Source organism: Homo sapiens, chromosome 8 (assembly GCF_000001405.40).
Source record: "Homo sapiens chromosome 8, GRCh38.p14 Primary Assembly".
NCBI lineage: Eukaryota > Metazoa > Chordata > Mammalia > Primates > Hominidae > Homo > Homo sapiens.
Window position 1 is genome coordinate 99,203,226 of NC_000008.11, and position 22,387 is coordinate 99,225,612.

General features: G+C 36.0%; 1 protein-coding gene across 3 annotated transcripts in view; it reads left to right on the forward strand.

The window, feature by feature from the left end:
* VPS13B (vacuolar protein sorting 13 homolog B) overlaps window positions 1-22,387 on the forward strand; it is an 864,307-nt gene that overhangs the window by 189,952 nt on the left and 651,968 nt on the right. Inside the window, exon 18 of one of the 3 annotated variants that reach the window (NM_015243.3) lies at window positions 6,367-6,562. The exons of the other annotated variants lie outside the window; for them this stretch is intronic. Within the exon in view, the coding sequence (NP_056058.2) occupies window positions 6,367-6,443 (77 nt within the window). The 3' untranslated portion in view covers window positions 6,444-6,562. Of the gene's footprint in view, window positions 1-6,366; window positions 6,563-22,387 lie in introns of those variants that run through there. 3 annotated transcript variants of the gene reach the window in all.

Sequence of the window (22,387 nt, forward strand, 5' to 3'; positions counted from 1 at the left end):
CATAATCCATCACATAAACAGAACCATTGACAAAAACCACGTGATTATCTCAATAGATGCAGAAAAGGCCTTCAATAAAATTCAACTCCCCTTCATCTAAAAACTCTCAATAAACTAGGTATTGATGGAACGTATCTCAAAATAATAAGAGTTATTTATGGCAAACTCACAGCCAGTATCATACTGAACAGGCAAAAGCTGGAAGCATTCCCTTTGAAAACTGGCACAAGACAAGTATGCCCTCTCTTAGCACTCCTATTCAACATAGTATTGGAAGTTCTGGCCAGGATAATCAGGCAAGAATAAGAAATAAAGGGTATTCAAACAGGAAGAGAGGAAGTCAGATTGTCTCTCTTTGCAGATGACATGATTGTATATTTAGAAAACCCCATCGTCTCAGCCCAAAATCTCCTTAAGCTGATAAGCAACTTCAGCAAAGTCTCAGGATACAAAATCAATGTGGAAAAATCACAAGCATTCCTATACACCAATAATAGACAAACAGCCAAATCATGAGCAAACTCCCATTCACAATTTTTACAAAGAGAATAAAATACCTAGGAATCCAACTTACAAGGGATGTGAAGGACCTCTTCAAGGAGAACTATGAACCACTGCTCAGGGAAATAAGAGAGGGCACATACAAATGGAAAAACATTCCATGCTCATGGATAGGAAGAATCAATATCGTGAAAATGGCCATACTGCCCAAAATAATTTATAGATTCAGTATATCCCCATCAAGCTACCATTGACTTTCTCAACAGAATTGGCAAAAACTACTTTAAATTTCATATAGAACCAAAAAAGGGCCTGTATAGCCAAGACAATCCTAAACAAAAGGACCAAAACTGGAGGCATCATGGTACCTGACTTTCAAATATGCTACAAGGTTACTGTAACCAAAACAGCATGGTATTGGTACCAAAACAGATATATAGAACAATGGAACAGAACAGAGGCCTCAGAAATAACACCACACATCTACAACCATCTGATCTTTGACAAACCCGACAAAAACTAGCAATGGGGAAAGGATTCTCTGCTTAATAAATGGTTTTGGGAAAACTGGCTAGCCTTATGCAGAAAACTGAAACTGGATCCATTCCTTACATCTTATACAAAAATTAACTCAAGATGGATTAAAGACTTAAATGTAAGACCTAAAACCACAAAAACCCTAGAAGAAAACCTAGGCAATACCATTCAGGACATAGGCACAGGCAAAGACTTTGTGACTTAAACACCAAAAGGAATGGCAACAAAAGCCAAAATTGACAAATGGAATCTCATCAAACGAAAGAGCTTCTGCACAGCCAAAGAAACTCTCATCAGCGTGAACAGGCAATCTACAGAATGGGAGAAAATTTTTGTAATCTGTTTATTTGACAAAGGTCTAATATTCAGAATCTACAAGGAACTTAAACACATTTACAAGAAAAAAAAACCCTATGAAAAAGTGTGCAAAAGATATGAACAAACATTTCTCAAAAGAAGACATTTATGTGGCCAAGAAACATATGAAAAAAAGCTCATCATCACTAGTCATTAGACAAATGCAAATAAAAACCACAGTGAGATACCATCTTATACCAGTTAGAATGGTGATCATTAAAAAGTCAGGAAACAACAGATGCTGGAGAGGATGTGGAGAAATAGAAATGCTTTTACACTGTTGGTGGGAGTCTAAATTAGTTCAACCATTGTGGAAGATAGTGTGGCAATTCCTCAAGGATCTAGAACCAGAAATACCATTTGACCCAGCCATCCCATTACTGGGTATATACCCAAAGGATTATAAATCATTCTACATAAAGACACATGCATTTTTATGTTTATTGCAGCACTATTCGGAATAGCAAAGACTTGGAACCAACCCAAATGTCCATCAGTGATAGACTGGATAAAGAAAATGTGGCACATATACACCATGGAATACTATGCAGCCATAAAAATTGATGAGTTCATGGTTTTTGCAGGGAGATAGATGGAGCTAGAAACCATCATTCTCAGCAAACTAACACATGAACAGAAAACCAAACACCACGTGTTCTCACTCATAAGTTGGAGCTGAACAATGGAAACACATGGACACAGGGAGGGGAACATCACACACTGGGGCCTGTTGTGGGGTAGGGGGATAGGGGAGGGATAGCATTAGAAGAAATATCTAATGTAGATGACGGGTTGATGGGTGGCTCGAACCACCATGGTACGTGTATACCTTTGTAACAAACCTGCATGTTCTACACATGTATCCCAGAACTTAAAGTATAATAATAATAAAAACACGAAACTTATACTTTCATTTACTTTTCACATACTTTACAGCTGTCTGCTTAGCATTTTTCATCTAGTGAGCTGTATAATGTAAGGACTGGATACCATTAAAGTTACTTGGATAGACTGAGTTGGCTCACCTATTTTAGATTGATATGTCTCATTTATTAATTTCATTGGCTTCTTACCAGGAATATTGTTGTTGGCAGGTTATATATCCTTTTTTACAGATGGGAACATTTATGCTTAGAACAATTTAGTGTTTTTCTTAAATATCATCCCGCAGCTATTCACTGACTAAGTCATTTTTTGAAGCCAGGCCTTTGGAATTTTCTGCTACCATTATGTCTGCAATACCAAACTATCTCTGGTAAATGAGATCAGAAATAGAGTAAAGTGTGTTACTTCATTAGAAAATATTAATGAAATTATAGCAAATATTGGAAATTTAATTAAAATAATAAATTATAAAGGATAAAGCAGAGATTAAAATTTGAGCTAAATATGTATTATTAATCAGGTTATTGAATATATATTTTTGTTATTCGTGTTTCTGATGGCTCTTAAATCATAGAAATTCTAACCCTGTCTTTTTGCGAGAAGATTAAATATAAAGTCACACATGGCTTTGGTTTTGCTCTGGAAAACAAGGACTTGCTACCACTTTTCCTTGTTCAGAAGTTCATTATTTTGTTGACAGTGTAGTTTCATTAATCTGGTATTTGCAGGGAAATAACTTACAGACTTTAAAATCTGTGCTAAAGGTGATCAAATGGACATTCGAATCCCTCATTTAAGTTATGTCTTAATGTTAAAATAAAAATCTACTTTCCAGAAAGTAACTGTTAAAGTATTTTATGCAACATTTCATGTGGGATACCTTAATGGTTGAATAATAAATTTTACCTCATAAAAATGAAATTCAATAATACAGTAGCTTTCTCAGCGCAGTAGCATCTGGTCTATTCTCATGAGAGCCAATATTTTCCAACTCATTAGGATCATGTCGTTCTGTATGTCGTCAACATTGACTTAGCCAAGCAACCTTTACTTACATAACTGCCAAACTATTAAATAGGTCTCTTGTGGAGTGAAGTCAAATATTCCTCTTACTTTACTTCTGCCTTAGAAGAGGGGAAGAAAATGTACATACTGTAACATTTAAACATCTGGTCTAAAACCACATCACTGTAACTGAATAAAGTTATGGAGGTATTCTTCCCAGGTGTGCATATAAAAAGGATTTTGGAGTTGTTGAATAGTTCTTTAATCACTTAGGAAAAAGATTGAGGTATATTGATATGATTTTTCTATTCCTCTGTTTTCAAACTACTTCCCCCAACACCATCATGTCTGCTAAATACTTCTAATGTGTTCTAAGATATATATTTTTGAGATGTTATAAAATTTTCTTGCCAGATACAGGCATTGGCTATACATTTATTCTTGCGTAAAAAAAAATGAATTGAGTTAGATTTGTATTGAGAACTACCAATTAGACCTCTTGATATTTAAATTGGAGTAAAAAGACATTAATTTTTGTGAATCTTGTGAGTTTTAAGGTGTCCCTATATGCACTTTTAATAATATGAATATTTATTGAATTTAAAGTTTCCATTTTACTACAGCTTATGTCCAGGTATTGAGAGCTCATTTATAGAATATGTGGTCATTATTAAGAAGTGAGTAATTAATATAGGTTTAACCCATTTATGCTGGAGGTTGCAATTTTGTGTGTGTGTGTGAAAAATCAGATCTTGGCAATGACTTTGCACAGTAGGATATAAATAACTCCCACAAGCTTAGCATTCTAATAATGCAACACTAGGAATAAAGGGGTTAAAGACACACTTAGAATGTTAAGTTATGCCTGACTTAATTTTGTTCCTCTATTCTGTCTCAGACATTTTGATAATGTTTGTAAATTTTTTTCTGATGATACTTCATGGCACAGGAATGGGAATTTTAGGTGTCCTTTAGTGAAAGAAAATATATAAAGTGTAAGTGTACAGAGTAGATTTGAGAAAAATGCAATTCTTTGAATTATTATTTAAGTATATTTTATTGGATATTTGAAAAGTAGGCAATATGAATTTAGTGTGATTTTTCAGTCTTACAGAAAGTCTTTTATGAACATCATAAAAATGTGTCAATAAATTACTGTTGATAATAAAATATTAATAGATAAATGAGTTAGATTTCTGCAGAAAAGATACTTTTTTTGCCTTATGTATTTTTTTGCTGTTTATTTGCCTATGTATTCTTTGCTCATGTTTATGTCTTCTATTTGTTCACAACCTAAAATGTATTTCTTCTGGTTGTATTCACTTATCAGTCATTTTGAAAATATGTAGTTTGCAATCTGTTCAGTTCTGGGAGCAGATAGCTAACAAGAAATAGACATGATTTTAGTAATGAATGTAGAATCTTCTGTGTCACCTATTACAAGATCAAGTATGGCTTTAAAAATGGACAAGAGTTAATTACATACAGTGAAGAAAGGGACTCTTATTTGTGAGGGCTGTTTACAAAGTACCACAAACTAGGTGACTTAAAACAGCAAATTTATTTGTTGAAGCCTTGGGCTGCTTAAAATCATGTTGGAAGGCAAAGCAGTAGCTGGCGTGTCACATCGCCAGAGTTGGAGCAAAAGAGAGAGTTGGGAGGAGGTGTCATGCACTTTAAAACAACATCTTCTGAGAACTCACTATCACGCAGCACCAAGCCATGAGGGATCCATCCTCATGACCCAAACACCTCCTACCAGGCCCCATCTCCATCACTGGGGATTACATTTCAGCATGTGATTTGAGGGGATGACAAATATCCAACCCATATCACATATCATTAAGACTTCTTTTCTTTCTTTTTATTTCCTTTTTTTATTGATTCTACTTGGAGGAAAATTGTAATATTTCATAATTTAAAATGAAATTTTGGTTGCAAAATTCCATTAATCCCAAGTTTCTGATTCTATCTTTTTATAGTCACCTTTTTAAATGAAGTGTATATCTCATATGATAAACATCTTCATATTATATGTAAGATTAAATACTATGTTGATTTTACTAGATTTTTGTTTGCTCTTTACCACAGAGATTTATTTGAAATATAAATATTTTGCATAAAGTGAATACTTATTTTAATTAATGATTCATGGAACATATAGGTCAAATCATTGCAACAAATGAAATCATGATAAAAGTCTTATTATCATAGATTGACTTCCTAATTCTTAATTTTAAAACAGTCCTTTACTTTCACAGGAAAGCCAAGTGACAATAGTGAAGTAATTTTGTAAGTTCTTTGTAGTCCATATTTTCATTAATCTCTTGTACATTCTTTGAAGTAGAAAATCTGAACAATATTTTACAGGTTTAAAAGCTGTTGAAGATATTTTTACAAGGCTACTGAGTAGTAAAAAATAACAGAATGAGAAGTTGGGTTCTAGTTTTCAGAGAACTACTTGTGTTTATTTTTTAAGAAATAATGCGACTGGGCAGGGTGGCTCATGCCTGTAATCCCAGCACTTTGGGAGGCCGAGGTGGGCAGATCACAAGGTTGAGAGATCGAGACCATCCTGGCCAACATGCTAAAACCCCATCTCTACTAAAAATACAAAAATTAGCTGAGTGTGGTGACATGTGCCTGTAGTCCCAGCTACTTGGGAGGCTGAGGCAGGAGAACCACTTTAACACGGGAGGCAGAGGTTGCAGTGAGCCAAGATAGTGCCACTGCACTCCATCCAGCCTGGTGACAGACTGAGGCTCCATCTCAAAAAAAAAACAAAACAAAAAACAAAACCGAAATAATGCTGTAATATACTACACAATTCCAAATTTTTACTTATTATGGCAAATAGAATGTTAGAGTATAATTTATATTGGACTTTGTTGGATTTATTAATGTGAATCCTTGAAAAATTTCCTACTGATTTTAATATAGGTAAGACCAAGATCTGTAAATATTATTTTTATTCTGTTTTAGTAGGTAAGTATATAGCTTCTTTACAGTAGATGGACTTATTTTTTCACTACTATTATGAATTATTTTAATAACAATTTTTTTTTTTTTTTTACTTTGTAGAGATTGGGTCTTGCTATGTTGCCCAGGTTGATCTTGAACTCCTGGCCTCAAATGATCCTCCCACCTCAACCTCCTGAAGTGCCGGGATTGGAGGCCCAAGCCACTGTGCCTGGCCCTTTATAAATTATGTTATAATTTCATGTAATACATAATTGTATAGTCAAAATGGCTCACATATTAAATATTCTTTATACAAGGAAGTCTCAAAGAGAAATTACATTTGAAATAGTTTATTCTAAAAAGTTTTCAAATACTTCAGTTACAGAACTTAAAGTTTATAATGTATACTAAATGTTAATATTTGGTTCGTACTCAAAATTTTTTTTTTAAGGACAAGAGATGTAGGTTCTGTGGGTCTAAAAATAATACCCATATGTGTCACTATATATTAGTTCTTATAATAAGCAATTAAAAATGTATAACCATATACATAATTACTCATTTTTCTTTGATGATAGTTTAAATAATTAAGAATGTGCTAAATATATTCTGAAGATGAGCACAATTTCAAGTAATAAATTATGTAGGGCTGGTTCTAGGTTTAAGTGAATAAGGAGAAGATAGCTGCTGAGTGCTGGACCAGAATCCCATTTTATTTATTTACTTCTACCTGTATTATGCTCTGGGAATCAGCATTTCCTACACTATAAAGGAAATTTCCAAGGCAGAGCAGCTAATTTTACCCTGGATATTCTCAGCACCTCATTTCTAATCCTTGTGGCATACAGTTCTTTTATTGACCCCTATATTCTCAAACACATCTCCCATTGAGCTATGTTCCTTTGGGGTGTACTTCTGTGGCACTCTGCAGTATCCTCAGTATCTTTCTATTATGGCCATTGGATTCCACTGGATCGGATATCGGGTCATTTTTGTAGTGTTTGTATGTGAATACATTTATAGTCTCACATTTGGTGCCATTGTGTTAGACATAGAACATTCTCGAAACTATATTTGAAAGCTGAATGTCTGGAAGTTGAACAATAAACTTACATTATAAGGTCTTGAAAAATATATATATATATATTTTTGAGACAGAGTTTTATTTCCATCTCTCAGGCTGGAGTGCAGTGGTGCAATCTTGGCTCACTGCAACTTCAGCCTCCTGGGCTCAAAAGATACTCCTACCTTAGCCTCCCAAGTAGCTGGGACCACAAGTGCCCACCAGCATGGCCAGCTAATTTTTTGTAGAGATGGAGTTTTGCCATGTTGCCCAAGCTGGTCTCCAACTCCTGAGCTCAAGCAATCCACCTGCCTCAGCCTCCCAAAGTTCTGGTATTAAGGTGTGAGTCACTGTGCCTGGCCAGGTCTTAAAAATATTTAATGTTTAACTGTCTTTCCTATTGGTATGGCGTTCTTGGGCTAGGAAATTAAGGATATATGTGAGAACTATCTCAGGTGACAAATGACTGAGACGCAGGAGGTGGTGCTTAGTTCTGGGAGCCTGCCAGCCAGACATCCTCACTTCCCACAAGCCCATTGGATTTTTTTCCCTTACTCTCATCCTTGTTACTACCATGATTGTAAGATGAAGCCGTCCCTAAATGTGAAATTTTCTTATAGGAATGAGAGGCTGAATGAAGTAGGCAAAAGGCATCTTTGTTTTCTTTTGCCATGAGAGGACAAGGTAAGGGAGGCTTCTGGCAGTCACTCTACTTACACTTGAGGACAAGCCTGAAGCTGTCTACCTTTTACTTCTTTTAACTCACACACACCTCTGGCTGAATTCTTGCCGACTTCTTGCATATCTTCTACCAGGCTTCCACCCGGTAATAGTAAGTACAGCAACAAAAGTGGAGGAAGGGGAGAGGACTTGGTTTGCTCTCTGCCCTGAAAGACAATCATCTTTTATATTAGGAAGCTCCAGGCCCCTGGCAGGTCAGGATTTCCAAGGATCCTTCTTGGTAGATTTAGACAAGCTAGATTTTGGAAAGGAGAGTTGTTAGGTATAGCTGTGGTTCAGCTGGCAGTTAAAACTTTTGTTCTGTTAGAGCCTGTTACTACTGGAAACCCCGTTTCTACTAAAAATACAAAAATTAGCTGGACGTGGTGGTGTGTGCCTGTAGTCCCAGCTAATCAGGAGGCTGAGGCAGGAGAATCACTTGAATCTGGGAGGCGGTGGTTGCAGTGAGCCAAGATCGCGCCACTGCACTCCAGCCTGGCGACAGAGAGAGAAAAAAATTACTTATGCTTTCTGTAATAGATGTTGTTGGTTCAGTACTTTTGTTCTTTCAGTAGTACCACGAGTTTCTTTTGGAGAACTCTTTTGCCAATCAAAGCAATTGTGCAATTTTATTTTTTTAATTTTAATTTTTTTTTGAGACAGAGTCTTACTCTGTCACCCAAACTGGAGTACAGTGGTGTGATCTCGGCTCACTGCAACATCTGCCTCCCGGGTTCATGCGATTCTCCTGCCTCAGCCTCCTGAGTAGCTGGGATTACAGGCGTCTGCCACCACGCCCGGCTAATTTTTGTATTTTTAGTAGAGACGGGGTTTCACCATGTTGGCCAGGCTGCTCTTGAACTCCTGACCTCAATTGATCCGCCCGCCTTGGCGTCCCACAGTTCTGAGGTTACAGGCATGAGCCACCGCACCTGGCCCAGTCGTGCAATTTTGATGGAAGTGACTGACTAAATTTCAGGCACGGGCTGTGACTGGCTTTAGCCAATCGAAACATTCCCTTCACCTCTCTCCTTCTATACTGATTGGTTGAGAAACCTAATTGAGGCCAATGGGGTTGAAAAACCTAATTGAAACCAATGAGATGTCACAGGGTGTTGCTGGGCAAATTAGAAATCATCTTCCTTCTGAAACCATCAGACAAATAGGCTCTTTTCCTTGGAAAGTGTGCTGTGAGCCTATGAGATCTGCAACTGTTGCAATCATTGTGTTATCATTACATTACATTATAGCCACAAAGAAGGGAAGTCTGAGGAAGACAGGTGGAGGAAGGCAGAGCTGAGAAATCTCAGAGAAATAGAGTCAGAGAACTGATAACATTGTGAATCTCAGATCTATCTCTGAACTCTGCATTACCATATGATTTAAGCTGATCTAAGGTGGTCTTTTTCTCTTCTTCTTCCTTAGTGCTGCTCCTACTTTTATTTCCATCATGAAGAATCTTAAGTGATATAGTTTGTCAGGATAAAACCCAAACTTCTGAGCATGAAATCAAAAGGTCCTTATGATATGATTCTTTTCTACCAATGTATGTAGCTCCATTTTCAGAACTACTACTCTCCCCTTTGCCTTCACATCTCTTATATTTTTGATGTTCTTAACCATATCAACCCCATAAAGTTTCTAGGCTAAGTCACGCTTTCATATGCCTGTTTTCATATACCCCCAAAATCTTATTCTTTCTTTAGGATTAGTCTTAGTAAGTATCCTCTGCAAATACTTCTCTCCCTCATTTAAGCAGATTTGATTATTTTCTCCTTTGTGAAATCATTGTGATTAATATATCAGCTTAGTTTGACAGATATTTCTTACCTACTAAGTGCTAGACTTGGACCCTGTTTTCAAAGCTCTTTAATTCTAGCTGGGTAATATGGCGTGTGTTTTTTGTACACATCACTCTTTATTGTAGTTACTTTTGTACTGAGATTTTCTGACAAAATCTAATGTGCTGTAATAGTTCATATTGTTAATACACATCTTAAGAAGTTTCCATTTGTTATTACTACCTAATTCTAATAAAAATTTTATTGCAAATATTCATTGAAAATAAATATAATAATTAGTTTTAATAATCAAATATAACATTTTTTCCAGATTTCCATGTCAAAAATTATAGATAGTCCTCTGACAAAAATTGGGTTAATATTATTTGTAACTTGGAAAACATAATTTTTCAGTAAAATGGCTAATAATTTTTTCCCTATCTGACTTGACCTGCTTTTTAGATCCTTTTATATAAGAAGTAGTAATTCTTTTAAAGTAAATATTTCTCTAAGAGCCTGCTTTGATAGTCCATACATACTTTTCTCTTCTCTGTAGCTAGAGCCCCTGTATTTTCAGCTATGCCCCAGGGTTCAGGACTAATCCTGTCTATGAACCTCTGTTGGTATAACTTTTGCACATTTATTCAATGTTCATGTGATTCAGGAGCATGTCCTCAACTTTGCAGTGTGTTGCCTTGACTGTGGGCTTAGCTTTATGTATTGAAAGCTCCTACTTGAGCTGACTAAGCTTTCATCTTGAACTGCCATTTCAGTTGCTGGATGCCTTTTTTTTTTTTTTTGGCTGGGCCACATTCCCTGTTTGGTATCCTAGCCCGTCAGAGGCTACCGTCATGAATTTCCCTTTCTAGACTCCCATAAGTTCTGCAGGCTTTTCCTTAATTCCAACTCTCTGGATGTGGTACTCCCCCATAAGTATTACCAGACCAATTTGGAGACATCTACTTGCTTACTACCCATTTAATTTTTTAAAAAGTTATTATTCATTATATTATATTTGCCTGCTGGGACACCTACTGTATTGTTTCTTATTGGACAGGTATTAGACCTGACCACTTGTCTCAACTTTTGCCTTCTATCCAATTCTTGAGATCAGGATTTGGCAAATAATCTGGCTCACTCTTTGCTTTTATAAATAAAATTTTATTGGAACACAATCATGCTCACTCCTTTAATTATTGTCTGTGACTACATTTATCCTACAATGGTAGGGTTGAGTAGTTGCCACAAACATATTGTCCACAAATTTGAAAACATTTATCTTGCCCTTTACCAGAAAAAATTTATCCACTGCATAAAGTATAGCTTATAGCCTTGTACTTTTCATATGGTGCCTATTTCAAACATTGTACTTTTTATCTGTAGAGAACTTAATAAAAATTAACATACTTATCAGATTTTTCATGTAATTTTAAAATTTACTTAGTCAAATATTGACAGAAGAAGTCCTGGAATTTAAACTTTATTGCTAATTTTTCTTCATTTTTTTTACCAGCATTTTGTTAACGTGTCTCATCCACAATGTGTATAGGTTTAACTGATTATATTAATTGATACTTTTTACCTATGTTTAATCATGTACCCATAGTACCAAATACCAGGTGTTGTCCAATTTATTTTCTCAATACTTTAACAACATATTCATTTCTCTCCATCTTTACTTCTGTCACACTAAGGCAATTCCATAATTTCTTTTTCCATCCAATCTATTGTCTATTTTGTACCAGAGTGAGCTTTGAAAAACTCAGATGTGACAAGTACTACCAGCCCTTCACTGACTTCATATTAATTGTAGGATAAAAACTTAAATATGGACCTATTCCCCAGTAACCTCTGAGCTTCTCAAAAGAACTATGCTTCTTTCTATTTTGGAGTTTTTTTCAATATACTCCATATTTCTGCAATGCCCATGTCTCTCTATTTAATCTATTTATATCAACTTATCCTTTGGAGCCCACCTTAAATGTCAGTTCCTCAGAGGAGCCTTCTTTAAGTAGAAAATAGGTTCCTCAAAGGCAGGTTGCATGTCTGATTTTTTTCCCTGCTGTATCCTCAGTAACTAATGTTTACTTTGCAGAATGTCTAAAGATGATAAGTGTTGTATGTCTGCTTTTTTGGTGAATGTTCAAAATGTAAATAGTTTACAAATTCTACTAATTCTTAAAGATCACCTCTTATTTTGCCTGCCTGACACCATGTGTTGTATAGGGTGTACAAACTAGGAGATTAGTCTCTGTTAGTGAGCAAAGTAAATCACTTACAATTAGATTATAGGAATTAATTGTTAAGAAAATACTGTGATTTAAGTTATGTGTGAAAAATTGTTAAAATAGAATTTCTGTATGCATTCTTATCTGTGTCTAAAGTCCTTAAGACCATCCTTACTTTAGAGAGCATCTAGAAGGACTTACAGGACTCAAGATGTAGTTGTACGCATTACTAAGATTTATTATAGCAATGTAGTAAGGATACATACTTGGGTCATAAGAGGAAAAGACATAGGTTGAGTCTGGAGAAACTCATGCATGTGATTCCTTTTGCCCCCTGCCTCCTGTGAAGGCACAGGTATGCTTGAGTATTGAGTATACTCCTTTTTCCACCAACAAAAAAATACACTAATATGAGCATTGTTTGAAGCCCATTCAGTGCCCAAGGTTTTCGTTGGGGGCTGGTCATATAAACAACCTCTGCCTTGCAAGTACCAAAATCCTGGACTCCTAGAAGGAAAGCGGATGTTCAGTATAAGCTTTTCTTTTTGTACAGAAGGCTCCACATAGCAAACCACTCTTATCTTAGAGGATGCGGGGAAGGCAACTTCCCAGACTTCACCAGTCAAGGTCCAGCTTTCCAAGCAGGCTTTCCAAAGGATAACAGTCTTAGGCTTGCTATATTGTCTTTTTTGTAGTGTTCTTAAAATAATGTTTTCTAATGTTATTTGCTTTTTATTCTAGTCACAGAGGTACTTCTAGCTAGATACATTCCTACATTGAATTAAATTGAAGTTCTTTTAGTAACTAAGAAAGGGGTATGAGTAGTAGGTAGGCAGCTACTAATCCTATTATGCTAAGATTTTTTTCAAGTCTCCCTTGGGAAAAATTTGAATGCCTAATGGGGCACATCATGTGCTACAATTGCTTTTGTTCACTATGCTTAAGCCACATCGATCTCTTTTCTGGACTTTAAATACAACAAACTTTCTTCTGCTGCAGGGCTTTTACTGTGTTATTCACTTTTCCTGTTAGGTCCTTTCCATTTTTACTTGGCTTATAACCACTTATTTTTCATGTCTCAATTTAAACTTCATCTGTGATACCTCACTACCCTCTCCTCCCATGTCTCTTAGGTTAGCTACTCCCAGTATTACCTTTCAATTGGATTATAATTGTTTACTGTCTTTTCTTTTCTAGAGGAACATATTCTCATCCTAGCATATCACATGAATGAATGAATGAATGAATGAATGAATGTAAAATTTGGGTGGAGGAGAATAGGGGAGTGCTAGAGGAAAAGGAGGGAAAGAGATTAAAATTTGTATGACATTTTTGAGAATTATATATTTAATAATTCAAATTTACCCTATCTAGTATCGTAGCCACCAGTCACATGTAGCTATTGGATACTTACATGTGGCTAATCTGAATTGAGAAATAAGTGTAAAATACTTACTGGGTTCAAATACTTTTAAAAAAAGAATGTAAAGTATCTTAATTTCATTACATTTTAAAGTCATTAAATTGTTTTTGGATATATTGAATAAGTAAAAATGTTAATATTGATTTCACCTGTTTTTACTTTTTTAATGTGGTTAGTACAAGATTTTAAGTGACATTTTCTAATAGACAGTACTTGCTCGGAAAGTGAGGCGTTGATGTTTTACCTTAGTGTGTGGTCCTACAAATTTAAACTTTAGGCTATTATCAAGAAGAAAGTATCTAAAAAATGGCACATTAGCTTTTCTTTCCTATTGTACTGGTACTAGTTTGGGGCAAAAAATGTTGTGTTTTCTGTTTACTCTTTTCATTATTTTCTGTTTACTCATTTTCTGTTTACTCTTTTTTCATTATGTAAGTAAATGATCAAAACAACTGTAACAGATCATGTTCATGTTTATTCCCTCTAATAACATTTATAATAGTAACAATAATTGCTAACACATAAGTGATTATCGTGTGCCTGGCACTGTTCTAAGGGCTTCATATATACTAACACATTTAATCCTTAGAATAGCCCTGTTGTTAGATACCATTGTCATTCCTTTTTAACAGATGAGGAAACTGGGGCGCAGAGGCAGTAACACGGTCAAGGACACAGCATGTTTGAGTCTTAATTCCGCTACCTGATAATGATAGTACCTAAGAATGTGATTTAGAGAATTAAATGTGATTCAGAGATAATTTACTTTCAGAGCTCTGGCTATATGACTTACTACATGTGACTTTTCACATAGTAGGCATTCAGTAGATATTTTTTTATTTGAAGAACACTGAGAAGGTGTAGTTTCTAGTTTATGCTTTCCAGCTATATTATATATGGGTATTTTTGTGTATTTCATTTTTGGTAATATAGTTTTGAATCTCAAAATACAAAAGAGCCGTGCGTATATGAACCTCACTAAGCCTCATTATAAAAGACACATGAGTTGATTCCTTTTCTTGGCAAATCCTTCCAGGATAAAAATAGAGCTGTCACTAGAACAAAAAAAGTATGGAAAAAGAAAGCTACTAGTTTTGGTAGTGACTAGGGTTGCTTTGGGCCATATCTGGTTGTGCCAGTTTGTTTACTTATTATCTATGGTGACTTTTGCACAATGCCAGACTTGAGTACTTGCAATAGAGATTTCATGGCTCACAAAGATTTTGGCCCTTTGCATAAAACATTTGCCAGTTTCTGACTCATGAACATATCAATCCAATAAAAGAATCTAGTGCTGGACCACAATTAAATTAGAATCTCCTAGGTTTTTCCTGGGCTGCTCCCTTAAAGGTATGCCAGTTAGACTGTCTTGAGATTGTTTTTAGGGGAAAGTTGGATTTTGATTATATCCAAATATGGTCAGAGTGGAATCCTGAGCGTTCACAATAAGTGTATCCCAGGAGTTGGCAAACTGCAGCTTGCAGTGGCCTGGTCTTGTATTGCTTACAAGCTAAGAATGTTTATTTACATTATTAGAGGATTGAAAAAAGAGGAGGAAGAAGAAGAAATGTGAGTCCATATGTAGCACACAAAGTCTAAAATATTTACTATCTGGCCCTTTATAGAAGAAGTTTGCTGATCCTTGGTCTGCATAATCTGCACTGTTTTTTCTGATCACTACCCTGGTAGTAGCCAAAAGGAGATGATTCCTTTGTGATGACAGATGCATTTGTTGACATTTATTTACAGTCTTAGCACTGTAGACTAAGAGAGGGTAAGGGAGGTGGAGTTTTGTGTTTCAGTTGATTTATAAGGATGCAGTTTTGGTGTTTGATAATATTTGATGCCTCTGGATTAGATAGCGAACATGGAATATCCATCAAATATTGTTGATTGTTTAGCTGTTGTGTGCTCTTTATGATAAAAGGGCATTGTCAAAGTGCCATTGTCGTCTGGCACATGGTCTTGAAAACTGAAAATATGTAATAGCTTAATTGTTATGGCCACAGTGGTGCAGAGGGAGTCAGCTGATCAGAATGAATGGGAGGTGGGTGGGAATGAAATAAGTTTGACAAGAGTAGTCTGGAAAGGGATGGAGTGGTAATGCCTCATGCAATGTGGCCTTTCTTGTGATGTAAACTGGTTGAGTTTTGGTGGTCACAAGTCTGCCATACAGTGGTAATCTCTGCATCAGAAACAGTCGTTTGCTTTTTGCCCAGTCTATGATGGTGAATATGTTGCTATGTGATACAGTGATGGATCCAGGCAGCAATTGTGACAATCTGGGTGGTGCAGGTTTGATCAACACCTTGATTCCAGTTGACCTCATCCTGGAATGGGCCCCTACTGTGGTCATCAGCATGAGTGACCCAGATTATCTGATCAGCAATGATTTTTTTTCTATAGTTTGTGGCCTCTAAGCTTTAGTCTTTAAATCTGCCACTCTGGTTTTCCAAGTGGCAGCGTAAACAGGTAGGCCATTGGCAATAACGATCAGTCATTTATAACAAGATTCCTCAAGGGAAATAATTGCCAGAATTATGAGAATGGCCTTGAATTTTGCCTACTGAGTTATGCCCACTGAATAGCTGGAGCTAAGATAAAACAGCAGCAGTAGCACGATGTATACCATTGGGTTTCAGTTTAGTTGAATGATCAGTGAATCAGACTCTGACATTTTGGGGAATTTCATGTATCAAAGGCCCCATTAGGCCTGCAGCTTGGCTTCAAGTGGCAAAATGAGGGTTAAAGTTTCTCCCCAAGGGATGTGTCTTGCTATGTTTTGTGCTTCTATAACAGAATACTACAGGCAGGATAATTTATAATGAATGGAGATTTATTGGATCATAGTTCTGGAGGCTGAGAGGTCAAATATTGAGATGCTAGCATCTGGCAAGAGCCTTCTTGCAGCCTCCTCACATGGCACAAAGGCAAAGAGAGTGAGTGAGTGTGTGTGCACGCACACTGGTGAGGGGGGCTAGTCCGCTTCTGTGATAACAAGCCTACTCTCGCTATAATGGCCTTAGTTCATCCATGAGGGCAGAGTCCTCATGACCTAAACATCTCTTAAAAATCCCACCTTCCAATACTGTCACAATGGCAATTAAATTTCAATATGAGTTTTGGAGGGGACAAACATTCAAACCATAGCAGGATGGCTGCCACTTTTTCATGTAAATTCAAAAGCTTCTGGGTGCCAAGCCTGGTATGTTCTTGAATATGCTGTTTTCATTTGACCAGGGGCAGCTACCTTACTCAGATCGAGCCAGTTGTAATGTCTCTCTATAAGTTTAAAGTCCATAAAACTGGTGTTGGGCAAATCAGAATTTTTTTCTGAGAGTTTTGAACTTGGAACCAGAGAAAAATGAGGCTTGTTTTTAGTGACAAAAAAGTGTAAGAATTGGTAGTTGTCATTGTTTGTTTCCTGCCATGATGAGAAATTAGGTCTACAGAGAGCTTAAAGTCATCTGAAGTGACAAAGAGACAGAGTTTTGGAGTCATTTGAGACTCTGCTTCCAATAGTTTCTGAGGCCTTGTCTTTCCCTTATCTTCACTGGGTTTTACCAATAAATCTCAGCTTTTGTTTAGGCTAGTTTAAATTGGCTTTCTGTCACTGATTAAAATATGAGTCCTAGCAAATACATATTACTCTCTTAGGCCAAGTATAATTACTGATGGTTTGGCATGTTAATTTAAGACATATTAATTTGTATTTCACCTAGACCCATTTCTGTTTGTTTGTGTTGATGTCATGGAAGAAGGAATGAAAACTGTATGCACATTAAACTAGATGTCATTTCCAAATTTGTCAGAGTTGTTGTTAAACATATGAAGTGATTTTCTCTAAGACACAGAAGAAGCATAAAACGTTAAAGTATACTTTGGATTAAAGGTAATAAAATTAGAAACAAAGATTTGATTGGCACAAGCAAGAAAAGTTATGGAGTTTTGGGTTATATTGGACTCCTAGGGAATATGAATCTGTACTTTGAACATGACTTAGTACATTGGTGAGAGAGCTAACATGAGTTTGGATTGATTCTACATCAGAAGATTCACCAGGAAGAACTGAGAAATTCTTCTTAGTTTTATTCTTTTTTTTTTTTTTTTTTTTATTATACTCTAAGTTTTAGGGTACATGTGCACATTGTGCAGGTTAGTTACATATGTATACATGTGCCATGCTGGTGCGCTGCACCCACTAATGTGTCATCTAGCATTAGGTATATCTCCCAATGCTATCCCTCCCCCCTCCCCCGACCCCACCACAGTCCCCAGAGTGTGATATTCCCCTTCCTGTGTCCATGTGATCTCATTGTTCAATTCCCACCTATGAGTGAGAATATGCGGTGTTTGGTTTTTTGTTCTTGCGATAGTTTACTGAGAATGATGGTTTCCAATTTCATCCATGTCCCTACAAAGGATATGAACTCATCATTTTTTATGGCTGCATAGTATTCCATGGTGTATATGTGCCACATTTTCTTAATCCAGTCTATCATTGTTGGACATTTGGGTTGGTTCCAAGTCTTTGCTATTGTGAATAGTGCCGCAATAAACATACGTGTGCATGTGTCTTTATAGCAGCATGATTTATACTCATTTGGGTATATACCCAGTAATGGGATGGCTGGGTCAAATGGTATTTCTAGTTCTAGATCCCTGAGGAATCGCCACACTGACTTCGTTTCAGAATTTTGAGCAGTACTGTTGACATTAGAAAAGATTTAAAAATACCTAACAGGTTTCCAATAAGCTATTTGAAGAGGAAGAAAAATGAAAAGGAGAGAAATGTTAATTTTTTTAAAAGAGAGAGGCTTTAATAACTATTTTCTTATGAATATATCTTTGAAGTTTATTCTGTTACACAGAAAAAAACATACATCTAAATGACTATTGCTTTTTTAAATTCTTTTAGCTAATACTTTTCAGTCGCGGACACACCGTGTTCTCAGAGTTTTAAAACTTCTTTGAAATTTTTTTTGGTGGCCAATTTTGCAGACACACAAGGAAATCAGTACCTCAGCTATTTATTCAGGAGTGGAGTCTCACTCTGTCACCCAAGCTAGAGTACAGGGGCACAACCATCATAGCTGACTGCAAACTTGAACTCCTGGGCTCAGGCCATGCTCCTGCCCCAGCCTCCCCAGCAGCTGATACTACAGCTGTGCACCGCCATGCCCAGCCAGTACCTCAGCTTCATATACATACTTTCTTTTCTTTTAGAGACTCAGAGGCAGACATAGAAACAAAATGCAATTTTCAGTATTTATCCAGAACTATACCTTTTGTTAGAATATAAAGATTTGTTGGGATCCAGTGTTACTTATCTACTGCTCTTGGCTCTGAATGGTATTTATTTATTTCAAATATTCAGACTCACCCCTCAAATAATCAAGATTTGGCATCACTGGGACAATTAAGAAGGATGACCTGTAGGCCGTAAATGTAGTTGTGAATGAAGAGTACCAAATATGTTTTTATCAGTGAAACACTGATTTGCTTAGCTTATGAATACTTAGAAAGACAACACATTTTAGTCTGTCTAATCCACTAGCATAGTCAGGACCTTATGGTTTAAATTCTAGCCCCATGTAACTTCCTTCCCAGTTCACCCCCAATATTGGCATTTACTAACTGGTAGTATCTTAGGCATCTTACTTAGATTCTTGAAATTTACAATTTCTTCATTGTAAAATATGGTTAATACTACATTTTTCATGTTTTGGTTGTGATAAATTGCATTAATCACAGTGCCTAGCTTGGTAATTGGTGGCTACTGTTATTAATTATAGTAATAGCAGTGATCGAATTTCTCTTGGATTATTTCATGATTTTATGAAGGGTAACAGGGTTTTCTAATTCTGTAAAAGAAAGGAATGAGTTAAAACTAGAAGGAATTTAGGTGGATTAAAAGAAAAACCAGTGGATTTTAAAAACTCGAACAGGATGACAATTATTCATCGTATGACATTGTATTATTTGTTTTCTAACATGTTTCCTTTGAATGGACCGTATGGGTGCTTTGTTAACATATACCTCAATTTTTTCATGAGGCAAATAGTTGTTAATGTCTAATACAAAAGATGGCCATTACATATTATAAAGTGCTCATTATTGGTGTATATATCACCTTTGATATAGGAGATTATTTTATTTTATATTTTTGAGATAGAGTCTTACTCTGCCGCCCAGGCTTGAGTGCAGTGGCATGATCTCGGCTTACAGCAACCTCCGCCTCCTGGGTTCAAGTGATTCTCCTGCCTCAGCCTCCTGAGTAGCTGGGATTACAGGTGCACACCACCATGCCCAGCTAATTTCTATATTTTCAGTAGAGACGGGGTTTCACCAGGCTGGGGTTGAACTCCTGACCTCAAGTGATCCGCCTGTCTTGGCCTCCCAAAGTGCTGGGATTACAGGTGTGAGCCACTGTACCCAGCCTGATATAGGAGACGATTTTAATTAGTATGTGGGAAACTTTAATTTTAGAAATTATTTATTTTACTGTGTATTAGGAAAAATATATCCCACATATTTATACACATGATTTCAAATATTACTGCTTAAGATAATAGTGGAATAAAAGTTTGCTTATAAAATAAATTTATTATAATCTAAATATAGTAAAATGAGTAAATTTAAAGAAAAAATATTAATAGTATTGTTAATAATTATTGAGTGGTTATTATATATGACACACTCTTGTACATACTTGCTATCTATTGTGTCATTTAGTCCTCACAGCAGTTTAGAGAGGTAGGTACTATCATTATTTCCATTGTACAAATGAGAATACGAGACATTAGCGAACAGAGAAGTAAACATTCTTGCCCTTAGTTATGAATCTAGTAAGTGGCAGAGCTGGAATATCAATCCATGTACTCTGACAGTGTCTGACCTCTTAGCCCCTATGTAATAACTGCTGCTTCTTCAATAAATAATAGTACAAAGGATATATGGATAGGGTAGTAATAAAGTTGGTATACAAATACATGAAGTTTGTACAAACTGCTCTAGATAATGAAATATTTCTAATCTACAAAGAACGTATTTTCATATGTGTATAAAATTGAATAGAGATGCATTCAAAGAATGTATTAAGATTATTCTAAATATTAAAGGGAACATTATTGTCATTCACATAATGAAATAATACTTTATTTAAAAAAACAAAGTATGGCGAAGTATAGTAAGTTTTTTTCACCACTTCTGCACCTGCTTCTGTGAAAAGGAAATATTCATAGTTTATAAGGAGTGAAAGTTGGTTTTTTAGGTCATTCACAACTGCATTCCAAACTGTTTGATATTTTAGCTTCAGGATTTAACATCCTAACAAAAGTCATGTGACATCAGCAGTGAGGTGCACTGAGAGCTCTCTCAGGAATACTCTTAATAGAAAGGAAGACTTTAGGTCTGTGAGGTTGTGCGGGCTTGAATGTGATTTTTATTTGATATATGAGCTGTGACATAACTGTTGCATGACTGAGATGTGCTTGTAAGTGCTGTACTATGCAGATGGGTTTTTTTTCTGAAACAAAGCCAAAAATAAAATCTTGAATGTGTTCATGTAGTGGGAAAAGAATACTTCATAGAAACATATGGAAACATTTCTAAGTTTTTTTCATTATATGAACCTTTTACTTTCTAAGCATTTTTATGATTGTTCAAGTTAACATGTCATTTACCTCATATTTTCCAAGTTTAGTGAGACATGGGAAATCTTATAGTACTCTGATGTTTGGAAACAACCAGATAATTTTTAGGAATGCACATTTTAGGATTAGGTGAAATGATTATTAGAAAATTAGGATTGAATAATGGGTTTATTTTTCATTACATTATTAATCATAAGACTATAGCTAATTAATTATATTAATCTGATGGGATTTGATGAGGAGATGTATTGAGTGGTTTCTTTTTACTCACTTTTAAATTAAAGCATAGGACAACATTAAAGGAAATCATAAAAGTAAAAAGATACAAGTATAGCATGACTGTTTTTAATTCTCCACATTCCCTTCCAACTCATGTCTTCGTATATACATTTTTACATGTTTTTTATTTATTATATGTTTACCATTTTATGTTATGCTCTTCTTTTCATAACATTATGTTTTAAAATTTCTCTTTGGTGGTCACGTACCACTCTGATTGTCTCTCTCATTGTGGGAAGCATACAAATAGAAAATTTTCTTAGATTCAAAGTTCCTCCCAAGGTCTCATTTTATCTTCCTCTTTTCTGTCACAGAGAAATGACTTAGAATTATGTACATGTTGCCTCTCCAGTTAGCTTTGATGCTGAGTCCGGTGTATATTTTGTAGTTCTAACTTCCTGACTCTGTATTTGACATACGTAGAACTCTCTTCTGATTTGTGGGCTCTTCTCCTTTGTCTTTTTATCGTTGATCTTAAGAGAATACACTGAGTAATCTCTTTCTCCTGTGTTGCTTCAGCTACAACCCATACACTGACAACTGCTTCATTTAATGCTGTAGCCCAGAACATCTTCCTGAAACTGTGACATTTATTTGAATATGCCAAGGTATCTAAAACTCACTATATTCAGAAGGAAATTTAACTCTTCTTTTCTTTTCTTTTTTTTTTGTTTTTTGAGATGGAGTTTCCCTCTGTCGCCCAGGCTGGAGTGCAGTGGCGCGATCTCAGCTCACTGCAAGGTTCGCCTCCCGGGTTCACGCCATTCTGCCTCAGCCTCCCGAGTAGCTGGGACTAGAGGCACCCACCACCACGCCCGGCTAATGTTTTGTACTTTTAGTAGAGATGGGGTTTCACCGTGTTAGCCAGGATGGTCTTGATCTTCTGACCTCGTGATCCATCCATCTTGGCCTAACTGTTATTTTCTAATCAGAGCTAATGGTATCACAATTCACCCCTTGTTTTATGTAAAACACCTAGGAATTCTCTTTAA